Source organism: Homo sapiens, chromosome 11 (genome assembly GCF_000001405.40).
Source record: "Homo sapiens chromosome 11, GRCh38.p14 Primary Assembly".
NCBI lineage: Eukaryota > Metazoa > Chordata > Mammalia > Primates > Hominidae > Homo > Homo sapiens.
In genome coordinates, this window is record NC_000011.10 from 117,751,674 (window position 1) to 117,768,325 (window position 16,652).

Sequence of the window (16,652 nt, forward strand, 5' to 3'; positions counted from 1 at the left end):
AAAACCCACAGCCTCCTCAGTAACCCAGAAAGCCACCTGGGGGAAAAAATGGAGGCTCAGGGGGTGAAAGGCAAAGTGCCCTTGGTCAAGGTCAAGGCAACAGGAGTTGCAGATATTGACCCAGGGCCTTGGCTTTACCCTCTCCCAAGTGGAGTTGAGCAGGGAAAGAGGTTTTCCTTGAAAAGTGAGAGACTCAGCTCCCCACACCAGGTCTATGTCTGGATCCACTTTTCATCAGGGCTTCCCTAGGCCGAGATTCTCATAGGCGCTAATTACCAATGGATGTAATTTGTTAAAAGGATTTTCATAAAGGGAATTATTGACCTAATTGTTATTTAACACCACCAATTCACAAACCTCAGCTCTGTGTGTGTGTGTGTGTGTCACTTCAATGTTTCAGAGTATACTGCAGAAGGCAGGGTCTCTCTCCCTAGAACAAGCCTTCTCATTTCTGTCAAAAGTCCCAATTCCCAGGTATGGGAGATAGGAGCCCTGATTCCAGGAGGCCTCTTGCACGGAAGCCTCAGGGAACTGAACTCAATGCCTGTGAAAGCTGAAAGTGGCTCATTATTAAAGCCATAGCTGAACAAGGAGGGGAGAGCTTTGTCAGCCAAAGCCTAGGGGTGGAACGACAATTTATGTTTATTTACTCAGGTGACTCATGTTAGGGTCTCATTAATAATCCCACCAATAGAGAGGGAGGGGCTGGGGAACACACAATTTTAAGTGTATCTCACAGCACATCATTTTACTCAAAGGTGAGTTAAGAGAGAGCCCTGGAGGTCAGGAGAGGATGCTAGATCCCCTAAGAAGCTTAATCCAGAACTCCTCCAGGCCAGTGCACTTTGCAGAAAGGGGCACTAGCAGGTCACTGGATAAAGAAGACATCTTTGAGGCAGCCCGAGAATGTCTTCTTTGGTGGTTGGTTGGAACTTGGGCCTATTCAGCAGGGTGCCCCGGGGAAACAATGGGTCTGGAGTCAGGATGCTGAGGTTTGCTAAAGGATCTGTGAGATTCTGCTAAGAACTGTTTCTTCTCTGGACTTCAGTTTCCCAGTCTGAAAATGAGGGAGAAGAAGCCTATTTCTGTCACCGTTGGGAAACCTTGCAAATTCTAGTGTCAGGGATGAGGCTGCAGCACGAGGGCCCTGTGGTGCGGCGAGGACACCCAGGACCACTGAGCAGGCTCTCCCAGGGCCCAGCACAGAGCCTGCGCACAGGGGTGCCCAGTGAGCCAGCAAAAACGAGTCTCTAGGTCTGCCCTGTCACTTTGCCCATGGCTGTCCCAGGGGAGCTGTGGCCCCAGGATGGTGGCAGGGGTGGGAGCACGGGAGTGGTGGGGACACAGCAAGTAACTGCACGGACTTGGAGGGTAGACAGACCTGGCTGAGTCCTGCCTAAGCCGCTTATTAGCTCTCAACTTCAGACAATGTAACCTCTCTAAGCCTCTGTTTCCTTGAAAGGGAAATGAAAATACATTTAAAATGCACCTCCCAGGGTTGTTGTTGGGATTAAATGATCTACAGAGCACTTAGCACAGTGCATAAAGAAAGTGCATTGAGTAAAGCCTCAATAAATGATGATGGTGACGAAGGAGAGGAATATGGGCGGCATCATTTTAGAAAGAGGTGGTGTGAAAACAGCAGAGGCCTGGGGCTGAGTGGTCCCGCATTCTTCTCCTCCCTTTGCCCTTTGTTGCTGCTATGTTTGGGGCATGTCACTTAATCTCAGAGCCTTATTCTTCACTTGTAAAATGAGAGTCTGCTCCGTTGTCAACCTGTGCTATAAGTGTTGTTATTCTCAATTTTCAAATGAGAAAAGGAGAAGTTAAGCACCCAAAGTTTCACAAGGCCACGTATTAGTGTCTGAGCAGGGATAGCAACCTCAGGGTAATAATACCTCTGTGGCCTTCAAACACTGAGCATAACATGAGCTGATGTAGGCACACTTTTGTTGATTGTCAAGTGTGATGCGTGGCTAAGTTGCCACGATTCAGTCATGGTAATGAGAATCACCTTGAATTGGCAGCTGAGACCTGTGACTTAGAAGGGCTTGCCCCCAGTATCCAGACTGCAGGCCCTTAGTTAGACATGGCTGTCACTCACGCTGCATGTTGCCAGAACCTAGAAAGGAGGCCAGAGAGATTGTTCTAGAGGCCCTGGTTCTAGTTCTCATGCTGTTACTCTATGTGACTCTGGACTAGGTTGTCACTAAGGTCCTCTCCCAATTCTAAGCCTCTGTGATTCTAGGATTCATTCCTGGGGACAAGGTGAAGCAGGCATTGCTTGCAAAGGAGAGTCTTGGGCCTTACCTGAGGACAAGTAAGGGAGAAGGGAGCAAATAGGGCCACCCAGGATGTGGAGAGGCAGCAAGAAAAGATCCTGGGGTCCTTTCCCTTTAAGAGGAGCAGAGATTCCCGACTTTTGGATCAGGGTTGAGCAAGCCTGGAATGGGGAGGGGGGTAGAAAGCCCCCAGAGCCTAGAGATTCAAAGACACCCTGCCCCTGTGAGATGCAGAAACTCTTAATTGGAGCTGTGCGTGCATCCAGCACCAATCACTCCATGATGTGCCTTTCTGAGGCAGCACAGAAGGCAGCCCTTCATTAAATCCGACACCAGGGAATTAATTCAACTCACTGCTGTCACTCTGTCTCCCTCACCCTTTCCCTCAACAGCCATTGCTCTTTGATCTTCCACACCTTTATGTCGAAAGTTCTCCTTGAGAGAGGAAGCTTCTCCTGACTGTCACCTGAGCTATGACTATATCGTGGGCCAGGACTCAGGGCTCAGCTCGGGAGGGTGCAGTGGGGAAGCACAGGGGTGATGGGGGAGCGGGGGGTGTGAGAATGGACGCACTCTCATAGAGAGAAGGTGAGGGAAGGACCACAGGCCATGAGGGATCCTTCTCCACCACCAGCAGAAGAAGCAAGGATTTGAAAGCTAATGGTGACAGCTAACTGGCTCACCCCATTTTAGCTATTCTTGAAACAGCGACTTTATAATTAAAATCCCTTCAGGAGGGAGTCATATGGGGAAGGAGGAGGGGGAAACAGAGAAGGGGCTGGAGGGAAGTTGCTGGGACCTTCTTCAGTGCCGTGCTGCCTCTTTGGCCATAGAAAATCACAGCTTCCAAATGATCCCCTCACCTACTTACGGGTGCCTCCCTCCCTACCTGCCTACCTGCCTTCTGTGTGACCCACAGTTTTCTCCTAACTCCATCCATGTGCTGAGATCCCCAGCGTGGGAGGAGCCAGGGCAGAACTTGGAGCAGGTAAATCCCTCCCAATCCATGGGGAACTGGTTACCCCGGCCACAGACAACCTTCTCCTGTTGCCCTAATGCTATGAATCAGTATTATTTTTGTTCTGCTTGTGCTGAGAGGTGAAAACAGTTGGAAGAACTGCCCCCAAGGCCCCCAGCTCTGACATCTGTAGTCTGAGGAAATTGTGCTACACCTTTCAATGATGTCTATTGGAAGTCACTGGGTAGCGCTTGGGTTTAATTCTTCCTTCTCTATGGATCCCCTAAAGATTTGTCCAGGACTTGCAAGAAAACAGAAACACTCAAAAGACCAGGGACAGGGAACCTGAATTATGTGAACGCTAATTTATGATGGGAAGACAGTTGTTTAAGGAACTTCCCCCAAGGAAGGCCATGGCTCTGTCAGGGAAATGTTAGAAGCTAATCCAGGCTCCTGGTTGAGGTGAGGCCAAAGAGATAACGCTTGTGAAATAATTTTCTATCAGCATCCCCATTTTCTAGATGGAGTTCTGAGAGGTAAGTAACCTGTGCAAGGAGAGACCCAGCCAAGAATCCATCCCTGCCCCCCGTCTCCTCGGATTGTCATCCCTTTCCTACCCCAGAGCTTCCTTCCCTGGGAAGATTCCCACTTGCTCAGGAATTCTATGCAGACAACATCTCCTCTTGACTACAATCAAATTACAGAGTCAAGTCAGAAATGCAAAAAGGAACCATTTTAAAGGATTCTTGGTTTTGTTTTTTAACCTTCGTAAGAAAGTCTGACCTTTCCTTTTGATGGAGTCACAAAATCAGATGATCAGTTTTCCCCACCCACAGGAGATCTCTGAGTGTTGGGGCTGACACCATGGAAACAAAGGAGCACCTGGCTGTGGACTGAGGAAGGTGTGTCCCACCCTGTCATTGAGATGAGACATTGCACCTGTACCCCTCCCACCAAGACTACAGCCACCGGCTCCTCTGGAGTTCCTGCCATACCCACTACCATCAGCAGCAGAGGTCCTTTGTCCTGGGAGAAGGACGGTTCTGCTGTCGGGTAATACCAACAGAGGAAAAGAGGCGGAAGCTTACTGCCATGAGTTTTCTTATGATTAAATGTGAAACACACATCAACACACTCCCTGAAATTGTGTGAAAGATCTGAAAGACCCTCTGAATTCTCCCTAGTTAGGAAGATTAATTTAGGAAGTGGAAAAAAGAAAAGTGGCTCAGGGCCCTTTTCTGTGGGGCACAGAGGCTGCCTGGCAGCCCCAGTTCAGAGCTGGGGACAGGAAGGAAGGTCACTCAACATGGCAGGTGCCCAGTGGACTCTTAGGGGCAGGGATGCCTTTCTGTGTTCCACATTATCTGGCCTCCCAAAAAACCTTCAGGAAGGTCTGCACGATATGTGTGGGTCTTTGTGAGGGTGGGATTTTTGGGAAAACCAGGAAGAAGGCTGAGGAAACATTTGGTCAGCACCAGAGCAGAGATAGAGAAGCATCCGTGAAACTCAGAGCAAGGAAGCAGAATTCGGCAGAGTTGGGAGCCAGAGCCAGCGACCACGATGAGAATACAAATCTTCCTGCGAGCTTGCAGACATCCTGGGAAGGACATGGGACATTTCCAGGGCTTAACTAAGACTAGAGACAATTTTTGTAGCTCCTCAGAGGCAGAGGCTATCCTATTGCTATCTGGGTTGTAGAAAACTATTATTATTCTTATTTTAGACATGAGAAAGTTGAGAAATTTAGGTAAAGGGCCAAGGGCTACTAAAAGCCAGTGATCAGAAAGAGCCAACACCGAGAGGTAGCTGGTGAAAAACCCGGTTCCAGATGGTGCTGGTGGAAACAGCACGTTCAGACCAAGGAGGGGGTGATGGCCTCACTCTGCCCTCTGCTCACACCTTTTGTGGTGTGGGGCACTCACTTTGGGAAAGACTTTGACACAACAGGGCACGCTCAGCGGTGGCTCCCTGGATGAACTCAGATCCAATGAATCCTAGGTGGGATTGCTGTAGAATTGGGGTTGCTTTGACCTGGAGGATGGGACACCAGGGTGAGGTGTGGGAGATAGAAGAGGATGGGCACTGTCCTCAAGAAATGAAGGTGCAGAGAGACAGAAGGAAACATCTGTGGAAGCTCAGGGTGGGGAGTTGGCAGGAGGAGGACCTACGGGTGGAATCTCACAAAAGCAGATTTTAGTCCCCCCATCTAAGAAGGAACTTCAGAGGACTCCCTGAAAAAGCAAAAAAGAAAAAGTAGTAGCTACTTTGCCAAGGTACCTACACTTCAATATGACTTTTTGGTGTTCAAAACTACTTCATATCTAATCTTCTTAACACATATTTGACAATTTAGAAAATGATGGAAAAGAAGCCAGAAATCATCTCTAATCTCACTATCTAGAAATAATCATGACAATCACTAATAGCCTTCAAGTATTTCTTTCAAGATATCCATCTAGGATCCCAACACAATAGAAATGATAAACACTCAAGGGGTGCTGGATATCCCAAAGACCCTGCATTGACCAGGACACATTCTATGCATGCAACATAATACCACATGTACCCCACACATATGTAAAATATTATGTACTAATACAAAAGATATCCATCTACAAGATGTATAGAGCATACGCATTTTTAACCAATTAGGAGCCTATACACACACACACACACACACACACACACACACACACACACACACACAATTATTTTTCCACCTAACATCATATTAGGATCTTTTTCTCTGTAAGTTAAAAATGCATTAAAAATATTTCCTTGTGGCCGGGCATGATGGCTCACACCTGTAATCCTCAAAATCACCTCAAGCATTTTGAGAGGCTGAGGCGGGCGGATCACCTGAGGTCAGGAGTTCAAGACCAGTCTGACCAACATGGACAAACCCTGTCTCTACCAAAAATACAAAATTAGCCAGGTGTGGTGGTGAATGCCTGTAATCTCAGCTACTCAGGAGGCTGAGTCAGGAGAATCGCTTGAACCCAGGAGGTGGAGATTGCAGTGAGCCGAGATGGCGCCATTGCATCCAGCGGGGATAACAAGAGCGAAACTTCACCTCAAAAAGCAAAAACAAACAAACAAACAAAAATGGTCAGGCATGGTGGCTCACACCTGTAATTCCAGCACTTTGGGAGGCTGAGGCAGGTGGATCACAAGGTCAGGAATTCAAGACCAGCCTGGCCAAGATGGTGAAACCCCGTCTCTACTCAAAATACAAAAATTAGCTGGGCATGGTGGCAGGTGCCTATAATCCCAGCTAGTCGGGAGGCTGAGGCAAATAATTGCTTGAACGTGGGAGGCGGAGGCTGTGGTGAGCCAAGATCACGCCACTGCACTCCAGCCTGGGCGACAGAGTGAGACTCCATCTCAAAAAAAAAAAAAATTCTACCGTAAGTTATTTAATCATTCCTCTGTTTATTTGAATTTTCAGGGTTGTAAATAACATTGCAGTTGGCAGAACTGTTTTGTTTTGTTTTGTTTTGTTTTTTGAGACGGAGTCTCGCTCTGTTGCCCAGGCTGGAGTGCAGTGGCGCGATCTCGGCTCACTGCAAGCTCTGCCTCCCGGGTTCACGCCATTCTCCTGCCTCAGCCTCCCGAGTAGCTGGGACTACAGGCGCCTACCACCACGTCCGGGTAATTTTTTTGTATTTTTAGTAGAGATGGGGTTTCACCGTGTTAGCCAGGATGGTCTCGATCTCCTGACCTCGTGATCCGCCCACCTCGGCCTCCCAAAGTGCTGGGATTACAGGTGTGAGCCAAAGCGCCCGGCCGGCAGAACTCTTTATTGCCATCTTTGGTTATCTCTTAAGGATAGAGCCTTACAGACACGGACATCTGAGACTTCAGATACATATTGCCAAATGCTTTCCAGAAAAGGTATGCTGGGGCCTACCTGCACGAGCAGCATGTGAGCGTCCCCAACTATGCGTTTGCTTGCCAAAATCACCTCAAGGGTTCCCTACAAACAGTACTCCTCCATCGAGGAGGAGACTTGATATATCGCTTTTCAGGAGATCGTCTGTTACATGCCTACCCATGATAAACAAGGTAGCAACTCCATCTTGCAAACACACACGCTGATATGCACATTAACTAATTCTGTCCTCTTTGTAAACTCTGGCGATACTTCTAGACCTTAGAGGACCCCAATACAAATCCACCCTGTTGAGAATGAGACAGACTCCCTCACCCTGTAGCAGGATGCTTCTTGAGACCCGGGTCCCCGGTCCCATCAAGGCTGTGAGTGGCGTCTATAAGAAATACCCAGGGCATTAGGCTTTGTGATTTCCAAGGCCCCCTATAGCCCTGACAAACCAATTCTACCACCTGCATGTGCCACCTGTGAACTTGGGTGTGTAAGAGGGAGGGGGAAATAGAGGAGGGGCAGGACAGGGGAGATCATTGTTTCAGGATACATTGGAACAAACCTAGGTGCTTTTAAGAGCTAAAGCAAGAAGGCAGCAGCTGTTGACCCTGCCCCGCCCTCTGCCCAGGACACCCTCTGTTCTCCGACCCTGAGGGGGGCCTCGTCCCCAGGGCTGGAAGGCAAGCAGGGGATCACATTTCTCTCTCAAGTTTCCCTATTGGCTATGACCTCGACTCCCAACTTTCTCTTGTAATGTGAGCTGGAGTTGGGAGTAGGCTTCTCCATGAGGGCGATCATCCGGGCCTCTTGAGGCCACCCATCCCTGCCCCGCAGGCCCACTCTCTTGTCTACAGGCTGCAGATACTGACTGACTCCCTCTCTGGACGGGAGGACAGAGGGCTGCTGGGTCACTCCTGCACCCCCAGCTACAGGGAGCAGTGAAAAAAGAAGGCCTCGCAGCCCCATAAATACTCCCAGTATTCTTAATTTTCAGTGGCCTCATGCTGAGTCTCCAGGCCCTCATTAAACTGGGAAACAGATTACAACAGGATCCCGAGGCAGACACATTTCTTCCCCTCCTGTATTTATACCACTTTTAATTGTTATTTTACAACAGTTGAGAGCACCAAGCCCTGCTCAAGGTGGCCCTGGAAGAGGGGGCAGGAAATAAATAGGGCAAAGAGGGCACTGCTGAGCACCTGACCCCTCCCATCTCCATCAACAATAGCCCTCCAGAATCAGCCCCCAGACCTCGCTTTCACCAACAACCTCCTATCTCCGCACTCCCATTCCCCCAGCCCTAGATTATCATAGTGGGATGCGAAGTCCACCTCCACCATCCTAGAACTTTGCACATGGTGTTGAAATGGTTTGTTTTCTAATGATAACATATCATGCATACAGAAAAGCATAAAAATAATGGAAAGAGACCCATGTTTCTTTTGGCATATTTTCTTCAGATCGTTTTTAGAAGGAACATTTTAAGAAAGAAGACATTCTGAAAACAGTTGTATTTCCCTCCACCAGCCCATCGCCTCCTCCTCAGAGGTAAGCGCTACCCTGAATATGGTGTTTATCATTTCCATGCATGTTTTTATACTTTTGCTACATATGTATGCATCCAGAAACAATACAGAGGACTGTTTTGCATGTTTTCAAACTTTGTACAAATGGCACCATAATGTATGGCATCCTTCTACAATTTGCTTTTTTCTCTTCAATCGACACGTCCACACTGATTTGTAAAGCTCTGGTTCACGCATTTCCCCTGCAGCATAGTATTTCATTGTGTGAGTATAACATATTTAATGTGCCAATATTGGCTTCTGATTTTTTGCTATCACAAACATGGCTACGATGACTAATCCTGTCCATGTCTTTTTGTGCACATGTGTGAGTTTCTTTAAGGAATTTAAATTTTTGAGCTCTTTCTTATCTCTCTCCCCTGAAGGGCACAGACCTGTCACCATAGCCAAGTTCCCAGAGTAATGCAGGCACATGGGCACAGTTTGTCAAACTGGACCAATCTGGAAGGGACCTAAGGGATCATCTATTCCAGCCCCTTCACTTACAGATGAGGAAACTGACATCCAGAAAGAGGTCATAACACTATTTAGAGACAGAGCCGGAAGTAGAAACCCCATGCCCTTTTCCATTTTTCTAGCCCTATCCCTACCACACTCTAGGATAGCCAAAGACTGTTAGAAAAATGATCCAAAGGAGAGAGGGGCATAAAGAGGTCACATCTGGATACTTGGCCTCTACAAGGGGGTCTCATATCTGGATACTCATCCGATAAAATGAAGCCACACTTGGACACACAGCCCACCGAGGAGTACTCACATCTGAACACCCAGCCTCCAGAGGAGGTCTCACACCTAGACTCACCTTCCAGACGAGGTCTCACACTTGGACACCCAGCCCCCGGAGAAGGCGTCAAACCTGGACTCACCTTCCAGATGAGGCCTCACACATGGACACCTGGCCGCCATAGGAGGCCTCACACCTGGACATGCTCAGACCAGGGCCTCAGCTCTGGACACCCAGCCCCCAGACTGAGGCCTGCCTTTTGTGTTCCTCCCTTCCTCCTCCTACAGAGAGTTCAGTCCAGTGGAAGACCCTGGAACCAAGAACCAGGAGCCCCAGATGTGATGGCCTAGAGACAGATAGTGGGCTCTGATACCACATGGCTTGGATTGAGTCCCAACTTTATTCTTACTGCTATGTGACCTTGGGCAAGTTACTGCACCTCTCTGTGCTTCATTTTTTTTCATCTGTACAATGGGAATGATGGCTGGGCACGGTGGCTCATGCCAATAATCTCAGCACTTTGGAAGGCTGAGGTGGGAGGATCACTGTAGTCGAGGAGTTCAAGACCAGCCTGGGCAACATAGTGAGATCCTGTCTCTACAAAAAATTAAAAAATTAGCTGAGTGTGGTGGCGTGTGCCTGTAGTCCCAGCTACTTGGGATGCTGAGGCAGGAGGATCCCTTGAGCATGGCAGATGGAGGCTGCAGTGAGCTGAGACTATGCCCCTGCACTTCAGCCTGGGTGCTGGAGCCAGACCTTGTCTATAAAAGAGAAAACACAAAAAAGTGGGGATGATAACAGTTCCACCCACCTTATAATGATACTGGGTAGACTAAAAGAGTCAGTTATATCAAGCTATTCACACAGTGCCTGGCACATGGCAAGTGCTGTGCTTTATTCTCCCTGCACATTCCACACAACAACCAGTACAGCATCGACTCACTCCACGCGGCAGGATCTCATCTCCCAGTCGCACTCTGCTACTTAGCCTTGGGCAAGACATTTCTCTGACCCCTAGTTTCCTCATCTGAACATAGTGATGACACCACCTGTCACAAGTATAAAATGAGATCAAACAACTCAAAGGGCTCTGACAAGATAAGTTCATAAAGCAGACATGGAGTGATTGTTTTATTTATCTCGTTCTGGTCTGCCGGTCGGGCCAAGTGTTTTCCCATTCATCATGGGCTATAGACCATGAGGAAACAGATAAAACACTCTGTCTTTAAAATATGAGGTTGTGTCTGTGACAGTGCCTGGCATAGTGTCTGGTCCACAGTCCAGAAGCTGAATAAATTCTGCCCCTGGTGCCTGCTTCCTGCTGTCAATAAGTTTTTTTTTCCTTTCCTGAGTCTGGAAATAATTGCAGAGGTAAAGCCATTGCCTCTGGCCTTTGTTTGCTCATCTGTAAATGGGGGTAATTGTTTCCATGCTACATGGAATCATGATGAGAATCAAATTTTATATATATATGGGCCGGACACAGTGGCTTACGCCTGTAATCCCAGCACTTTGGGAGGTGGAGGCGGGTGGATCACTTGAGGTCAGGAGTTTGAGACCAGACTGGCCAACATGGTGAAACCCCATCTCTACTAAAATTACAAAAATTAGTCAGGTGTGGTGGCAGGTGCCTGTAACCCCAGATGCTGTGGAGGCTGAGACAGGAGAATCACTTGAACCCATGAGGTGGAGGTTGCAGTGAGCCAAGATCGTGCCACTGCACTTCAGCCTGGGCAACAGAGTGAGACTCTGTCTCAAATAGTAATAATAATAATAATAATAATAATAATAATAATTTAATATATATGAAACTGTGCTGTAAACAGAAAAGCACAATACAAATTTGACTATTATTTTATAAAAAGTGAGAGACTATTTAGTTTGCCTTAGATCCCCACGTTGCTTAAACTCTGGGTATGCCATGTGGGGTCCTTCCTCCCACAGACCACTCTGGTGAGCTCCCACATTCCCCTTGCCGGTTCCTGGGGTTAGGGCCAGCAGCCCGAGGAGGGGCACAGGAGTAAGACAGGAGTGTGGGGTATGTGACGGAGGCAGCTCTGGTCCCACCCACCTGAAGGATGCCCAGTGATAAATCCTGGGAAATTCTCAAATTTAGAGTCCCCTGGGGAGCTTTCGAAAACCCCCAGTGTCCAACCCTGACCCCAGAACAAGTAGATCAGGATCCTTGGCAGTGAAACCCAGGCATCTGCAGTCGTTAAAGCTCCCTGTGTGATCCCAGTGGGCAGCTGGGGTCCGGGCAAGGGAGGCTGTGTCAGTGAACTCCTGGAGAGCTGAGAACAACGGGAGACGTGGACTCCAGGAGGCTGAAGCCAGGGATGACCTCCACTTTTCTGGAAACATCCTTGATTACTGAAGAGCAACCCCTAAAATTCCTTCCAAACCATGCCCCACCCAAAATCTTCACTGGCTCCCCATTGCCCTTCGATACATACAACTCACGCAGCATCACTTATATCCCACCTGTGATGCATCCTGAGCCCAGCCAGGCTGCTTTTCCCCAAGAGCAGCCCATTGTTCTCAGCTCTCCAGGAGTTCACTGACACAGCCTCCCTTGCCCGGACCCCAGCTGCCCACTGGGATCACACAGGGAGCTTTAACGACTGCAGATGCCTGGGTTTCACTGCCAAGGATCCTGATCTAATTGTTCTGGGGTCAGGGTTGGACACTGGTGGTTTTCGAAAGCTCCCCAGGGGACTCTAAATTTGAGAGCTGGCAGATCTAGAACACTCTCCCCTGCAGGAGCTCAGCCTGCCAAAACAGACCCCTTCTCCAGGACCCAGGGGGAGGTGCCATTTCCTACAGGGCATCTTCTCTAATCACAAAAGATGGGTGTCCCCCACCTCTCAGTCCCCCAAGAACTTGATTCCTTTCCTGCACCCTCATCACACTCTTGTGTGTTGTGTTGTTTCCTTGTGTTGGGGTCACCTGTGTCCCATACTCATCTTGCCTATTAGACCCTGAAGGCTGGCACGGTGCCTCCAAATGTTTCCATACCTCTGCCCACCCTTCTTACCCCTAACAGGGCTCATGAAACAGTGGTTCATCCAAGGCTGTCCCTAAAATTCAAAACACCAAGGCGTCTTTCTTAGGTCCCTGCTCTGGGGCACTGCTGGGGTCTACACAGGTAAGTCTCTTTCCCCTTTCCAAGGGTAAAAAAAGATTAGTGTGTGCATGAGTGTGTGAACACATCTATGTACCTATTCAATATGTACAAATTACATCATGCATGCATGCTATTTATACACATGCACGCATATATATTTTAATTAAAATCAGTTTCTTTGGTGCGTGGGAAGAGGAATTTCTCCAAATCCCTTGAGATCCTCAAGCAGAGACCCTTGGGAATCACTGTCTACATAACACAGCACCCATCACGCACACAGGAAGCACTCAGAAAACATTTGCTAAATTAAATAATGAACTAAAAATCCAATCAACGGATTGTTGCTTATGCCAACCTAGGCATTTAGATAGATTTAGGGGATGACATCGATGTCAGACATGGCTGGCACAGCTACAGGCTGACGGAACCAGAAGCTGTGGTTTTGTGTCCCTTCCTGGGCGCAGGCCCTGGGGTACAACCATGCTCCATCAGGCTTTGCAAAATGGCTTTCCTAGGCCTGGGCAGTAGCAGCAGGATCTGGAACATTCTCAGTGCAAGTCTTTTCCCTGTGTCCCACTATGAGGGGTGGTGAAGAGGGACCCCAGCCACACGCTCTTAGAAGGGATTCCTTTGTTACAAAGTCTCAGAGAAGCCCCCAGACTCTCACATAGAATGAAGCTCACTCCACACCTGGCAGAGCCCCAGACTCCACCCACATGCACGGCCGCCTTCATGGCCACCCACTTCGACAGGCCCTTCTCCCATTCCGTTGTCTGCTTCTCAGCGGTCTCTTCAGGATTCTGGCAGATCCTGTGACCCTAAAGGCTTGGGTATTCAGACATACTTTGAGCCCCAAACTGCTCTGAGCCAAAGGTGAAGAGGAGGAGTCACTAAGTGTGAGAGGAAACACCTCAACCTTAGAGGCCTTTGTCCAGGCCCAGGGCCCCTCCTGCCCTCCATACTGGGATGCAGAAGCTCTGTGCCTGGCTCCAACCGGCTTGCTATTCCACTGTGAAAGTCGAGCTTGGCAGCTACAGAGACCCGTATTTAAGTTCCAGAGGCTTCTGCACACAGCAAGATGCCAGGACCACAAAAGCCAAGAGCGTAATGGGAGGCTTGGGCTTTGGCCTTAGGGGGTAACATTAAGGGCGTCCCTGCCTCTCTGTCCCACCATGAGGGTCTGGATCCTCCCCATCTAGCCCTCAGGCCTTTAGCCCTGAAGGTCCCATGAGCCTGTGACCCTCTGTGTAAGAGCAGCAGTGTCTGCCCTCCTAAATGCTCACACCTACGATCACACCTATGTTCTCATTCCTCACAGAGACCTCCCAGGCCGCACAGCAAAGACTACTAATGCTGGGGCAGCTTGTGGACATGCGTCTGTCTAGCCCTAGGAAAAATTGAAAACCTACGCATAGAGAAACTGCATGTAGAAAACAGATCTATACAGAAAAATACATTATATACATGGAAAATGTATTTTCTCTATACAGAAAATGAAAGTACCTGATTTTGAATCCTCACAACTGAAAAAAGTGCAGCTCAGAAAGGTTAAGACCTTGGCCAGGGTCAGAAGGCAAGTTAGGTGCGGAGTCAGGGTTGGAACCCAGTTCCCTCTGAGGCCAGAGCCCACAGGATTTTGCTTCTCTAAACAGCTTCACTTCATCACAAAAGAGACTCCAAGCAAGCCCCACTTCTTCAGAGCAAAACAGGAGCAGATGGTGGCTTTTTTCCAGCAACCACGGAAACAGGTACAACCGCACCTGCCCCTTCATTCTCATCCATCCCATTTACAACTTAATCTAAAGGATCAGTCACCTTCCCAGCTAAACCTTCCTCTAGGCATTCGACAAACATTGCCTGGGTGCCTACTATGTGCTCATATGCAGTGAGCCTTGTGGCATTGCGGACGCAGTTATGTTACCCAGCACAGGCCTCCGCACAGAACCGCAGCACCGTCTCCACCAGCTCTGGCTCTCATTGATACACAACAGAGTTCAAAATCACAGGCTTGGCAGGAAGTGCCATCTATACATAGCTCTACCATTCTGTAAGCACCGTTGGCTTCTTCTGAATAAATGCTACCCTACATTAAATGCCAGAATTCGGCAAGCAATACTGCATGTTTGCGATGAGATTGAGAACTAAAGCAAGATTGATTTTGATGTGAACACCAGCAAAGCAAATGGGTTTTTGAAAACCCTATAATTTCCCTGCAACCCTTGACTTCACTAAACACACATTTTTAGACTACAGCACAGTTAGGTAGGCATTAAACAAAAATGAGGTAGTCTAATGATGATTTATGTGTAGGATAACCTTCTATAAAGAATTCCGCTCTGATTTCAGGGTAACTTTCAGAGGTGCCAACTTAACCAAACAATGCTGCTTGCTCTGTGTCCACCGCCAGGGTGTGATCCCGGGGCAGAGCGTTTGCCTGCAATTGTCTTAAATCTGCTGAAATTCACCCAGGGGGTGCTCTGGAAATGCAGCGCCTGCCATGAACTAAATGGAAAAGCAAAACATGACACATGCACACGCCGCCAGAGGCACCTGTGAACACGAGACATTTCTGCTTGACTGAGGAGTGTGGCTGATGGTTCTGGAACCAACCAACTGGCGTGCAAGTGCAGAGCAGCCCGCCTGCTGGGATATTGGAAGAAGTTCTAGGGAGCTGCGGGCATGTTCTCTGGGAGGGGGTGCTTTGAGAGCTCCTAGGGCATAGGCATCAAAACCAGAGCTCTGGTGTACCCCTCCCTGGCTGTGTGACCTTGAGCAGGTCCCTCAGTGCCCCCAAGCCTTGATTTCCTTGTCTGTTAAACCTGTGTCTCCCGCAGATGTGTTTGGGAGGATTCAGTAAGATGATGCCGGTGAACGGGCTTTATAAACCGGAGAGCACCATACAAACCGAAGGTGATGCCGGCCGCAGGGCACAGATGGAGAAGTGGCCCAAGTTATCTCCAAGAGCTGAAGTCAAACTGCCCTGGGCTCAGATTCTGCCTCGTCATTTCCTCAGGGTATGGCCTTGGGAAGGCTGACCTCTCTGTGCCTCAGGCCCCACATCTGCAAAATGGGAATAATAATAATACGGACTACATAGGGCACCTGTGAAGCTTAAATAAAATGATGGAGAAAAGCACTTATCACGGACGAGCTCAATAACTGATCACTTATTTTCCTACAAACCATTCTTGCCACTATGAGTATCATCTCAGTTTAGGGAGAGAATCCCATTGCTGCCTCCGAGTGCTTTCTTGTAATCACTAACCTGCAACGTACGCTTAACAGCTTTGGAAGGTAGGATTTTCTCCACACTTCAAGGAAGAATACAAGATGTCTGAGTCCGAGGCTTCCTTTCTCACCAAAGCAAACAACAAACAAACAACAGCCAAATTAAGGACCAGCTGCCTTTTCCACTCTCTGACTGCCTTGATGAGGGAAACAGTAATTGCTGGGAGTTCCTAGGACAGCGCTCTGCCTGGAGTCACTGTTACAAGGAAGAAGGTTGCACTTTGGGTACAGAAGCTCTGGTCCATGCCCAAGCCTTGCCACTTGGAATCTGTGTGACCTGGAGCAAATTGCTCAGCCTCTCTGAATCTCATTTTCTTTACATCTAAGAATGGGGGTAGCATGTTTCCCTCCGAGGGTTCCAAGCATGATTAAATGAGATGACATGCAGGTGCCTGCCGCGGGACCCTACATACACTTATGGACTCATACATGTCTATTGCCTCCCCTCTCACTCCTCTTCTGCCTGCACAAGTCACTAAGCCACACTGCCTCTGTGTCCTCACCTGTAAAATGGGCAAGGTAACGGGGGCTGTTTTGAGGAGCCAGTGACATCATCTGAAAGCACTTTATAAACTGTATCATTTGAGAGACAATAGTTATTATTGAACCAGGGCTTAAGCACTTGGAGCAAATTAGACACCCCGCAGTTTGTGGAGTTATTTACTATGTTGGTACAAAACCGCACCTCCATTCCTTCCCTCAACAGAAAATGTTTATCAGGTACCCTGCAAGGTACTAGTGAATCTAGAGATTAATACTACATCCTAGGCACTTTGTTTCTGTCATTCTATTCAGTTATTATCATGG

At 48.5% G+C, this 16,652-nt stretch overlaps 1 protein-coding gene across 5 annotated transcripts in view, besides 2 other annotated features; it reads right to left on the reverse strand.

Moving 5' to 3' along the window:
• The window catches only part of DSCAML1 (DS cell adhesion molecule like 1), a 389,743-nt gene that overhangs the window by 323,902 nt on the left and 49,189 nt on the right, over positions 1 to 16,652 (reverse strand). The gene's annotated exons all lie outside the window — the stretch shown is intronic.
• Positions 7,461 to 7,962: an enhancer, noted in NCBI's record as "H3K4me1 hESC enhancer chr11:117629849-117630350 (GRCh37/hg19 assembly coordinates)". NCBI's record gives its function as "activates a minimal SCP1, AML or CMV promoter by ChIP-STARR-seq in naive H9 embryonic stem cells {active_cell/tissue: H9 hESC(naive)}" and the evidence as "EXISTENCE:reporter gene assay evidence [ECO:0000049][PMID:30033119]".
• Positions 7,963 to 8,462: an enhancer, noted in NCBI's record as "H3K4me1 hESC enhancer chr11:117630351-117630850 (GRCh37/hg19 assembly coordinates)". NCBI's record gives its function as "activates a minimal SCP1, AML or CMV promoter by ChIP-STARR-seq in naive H9 embryonic stem cells {active_cell/tissue: H9 hESC(naive)}" and the evidence as "EXISTENCE:reporter gene assay evidence [ECO:0000049][PMID:30033119]".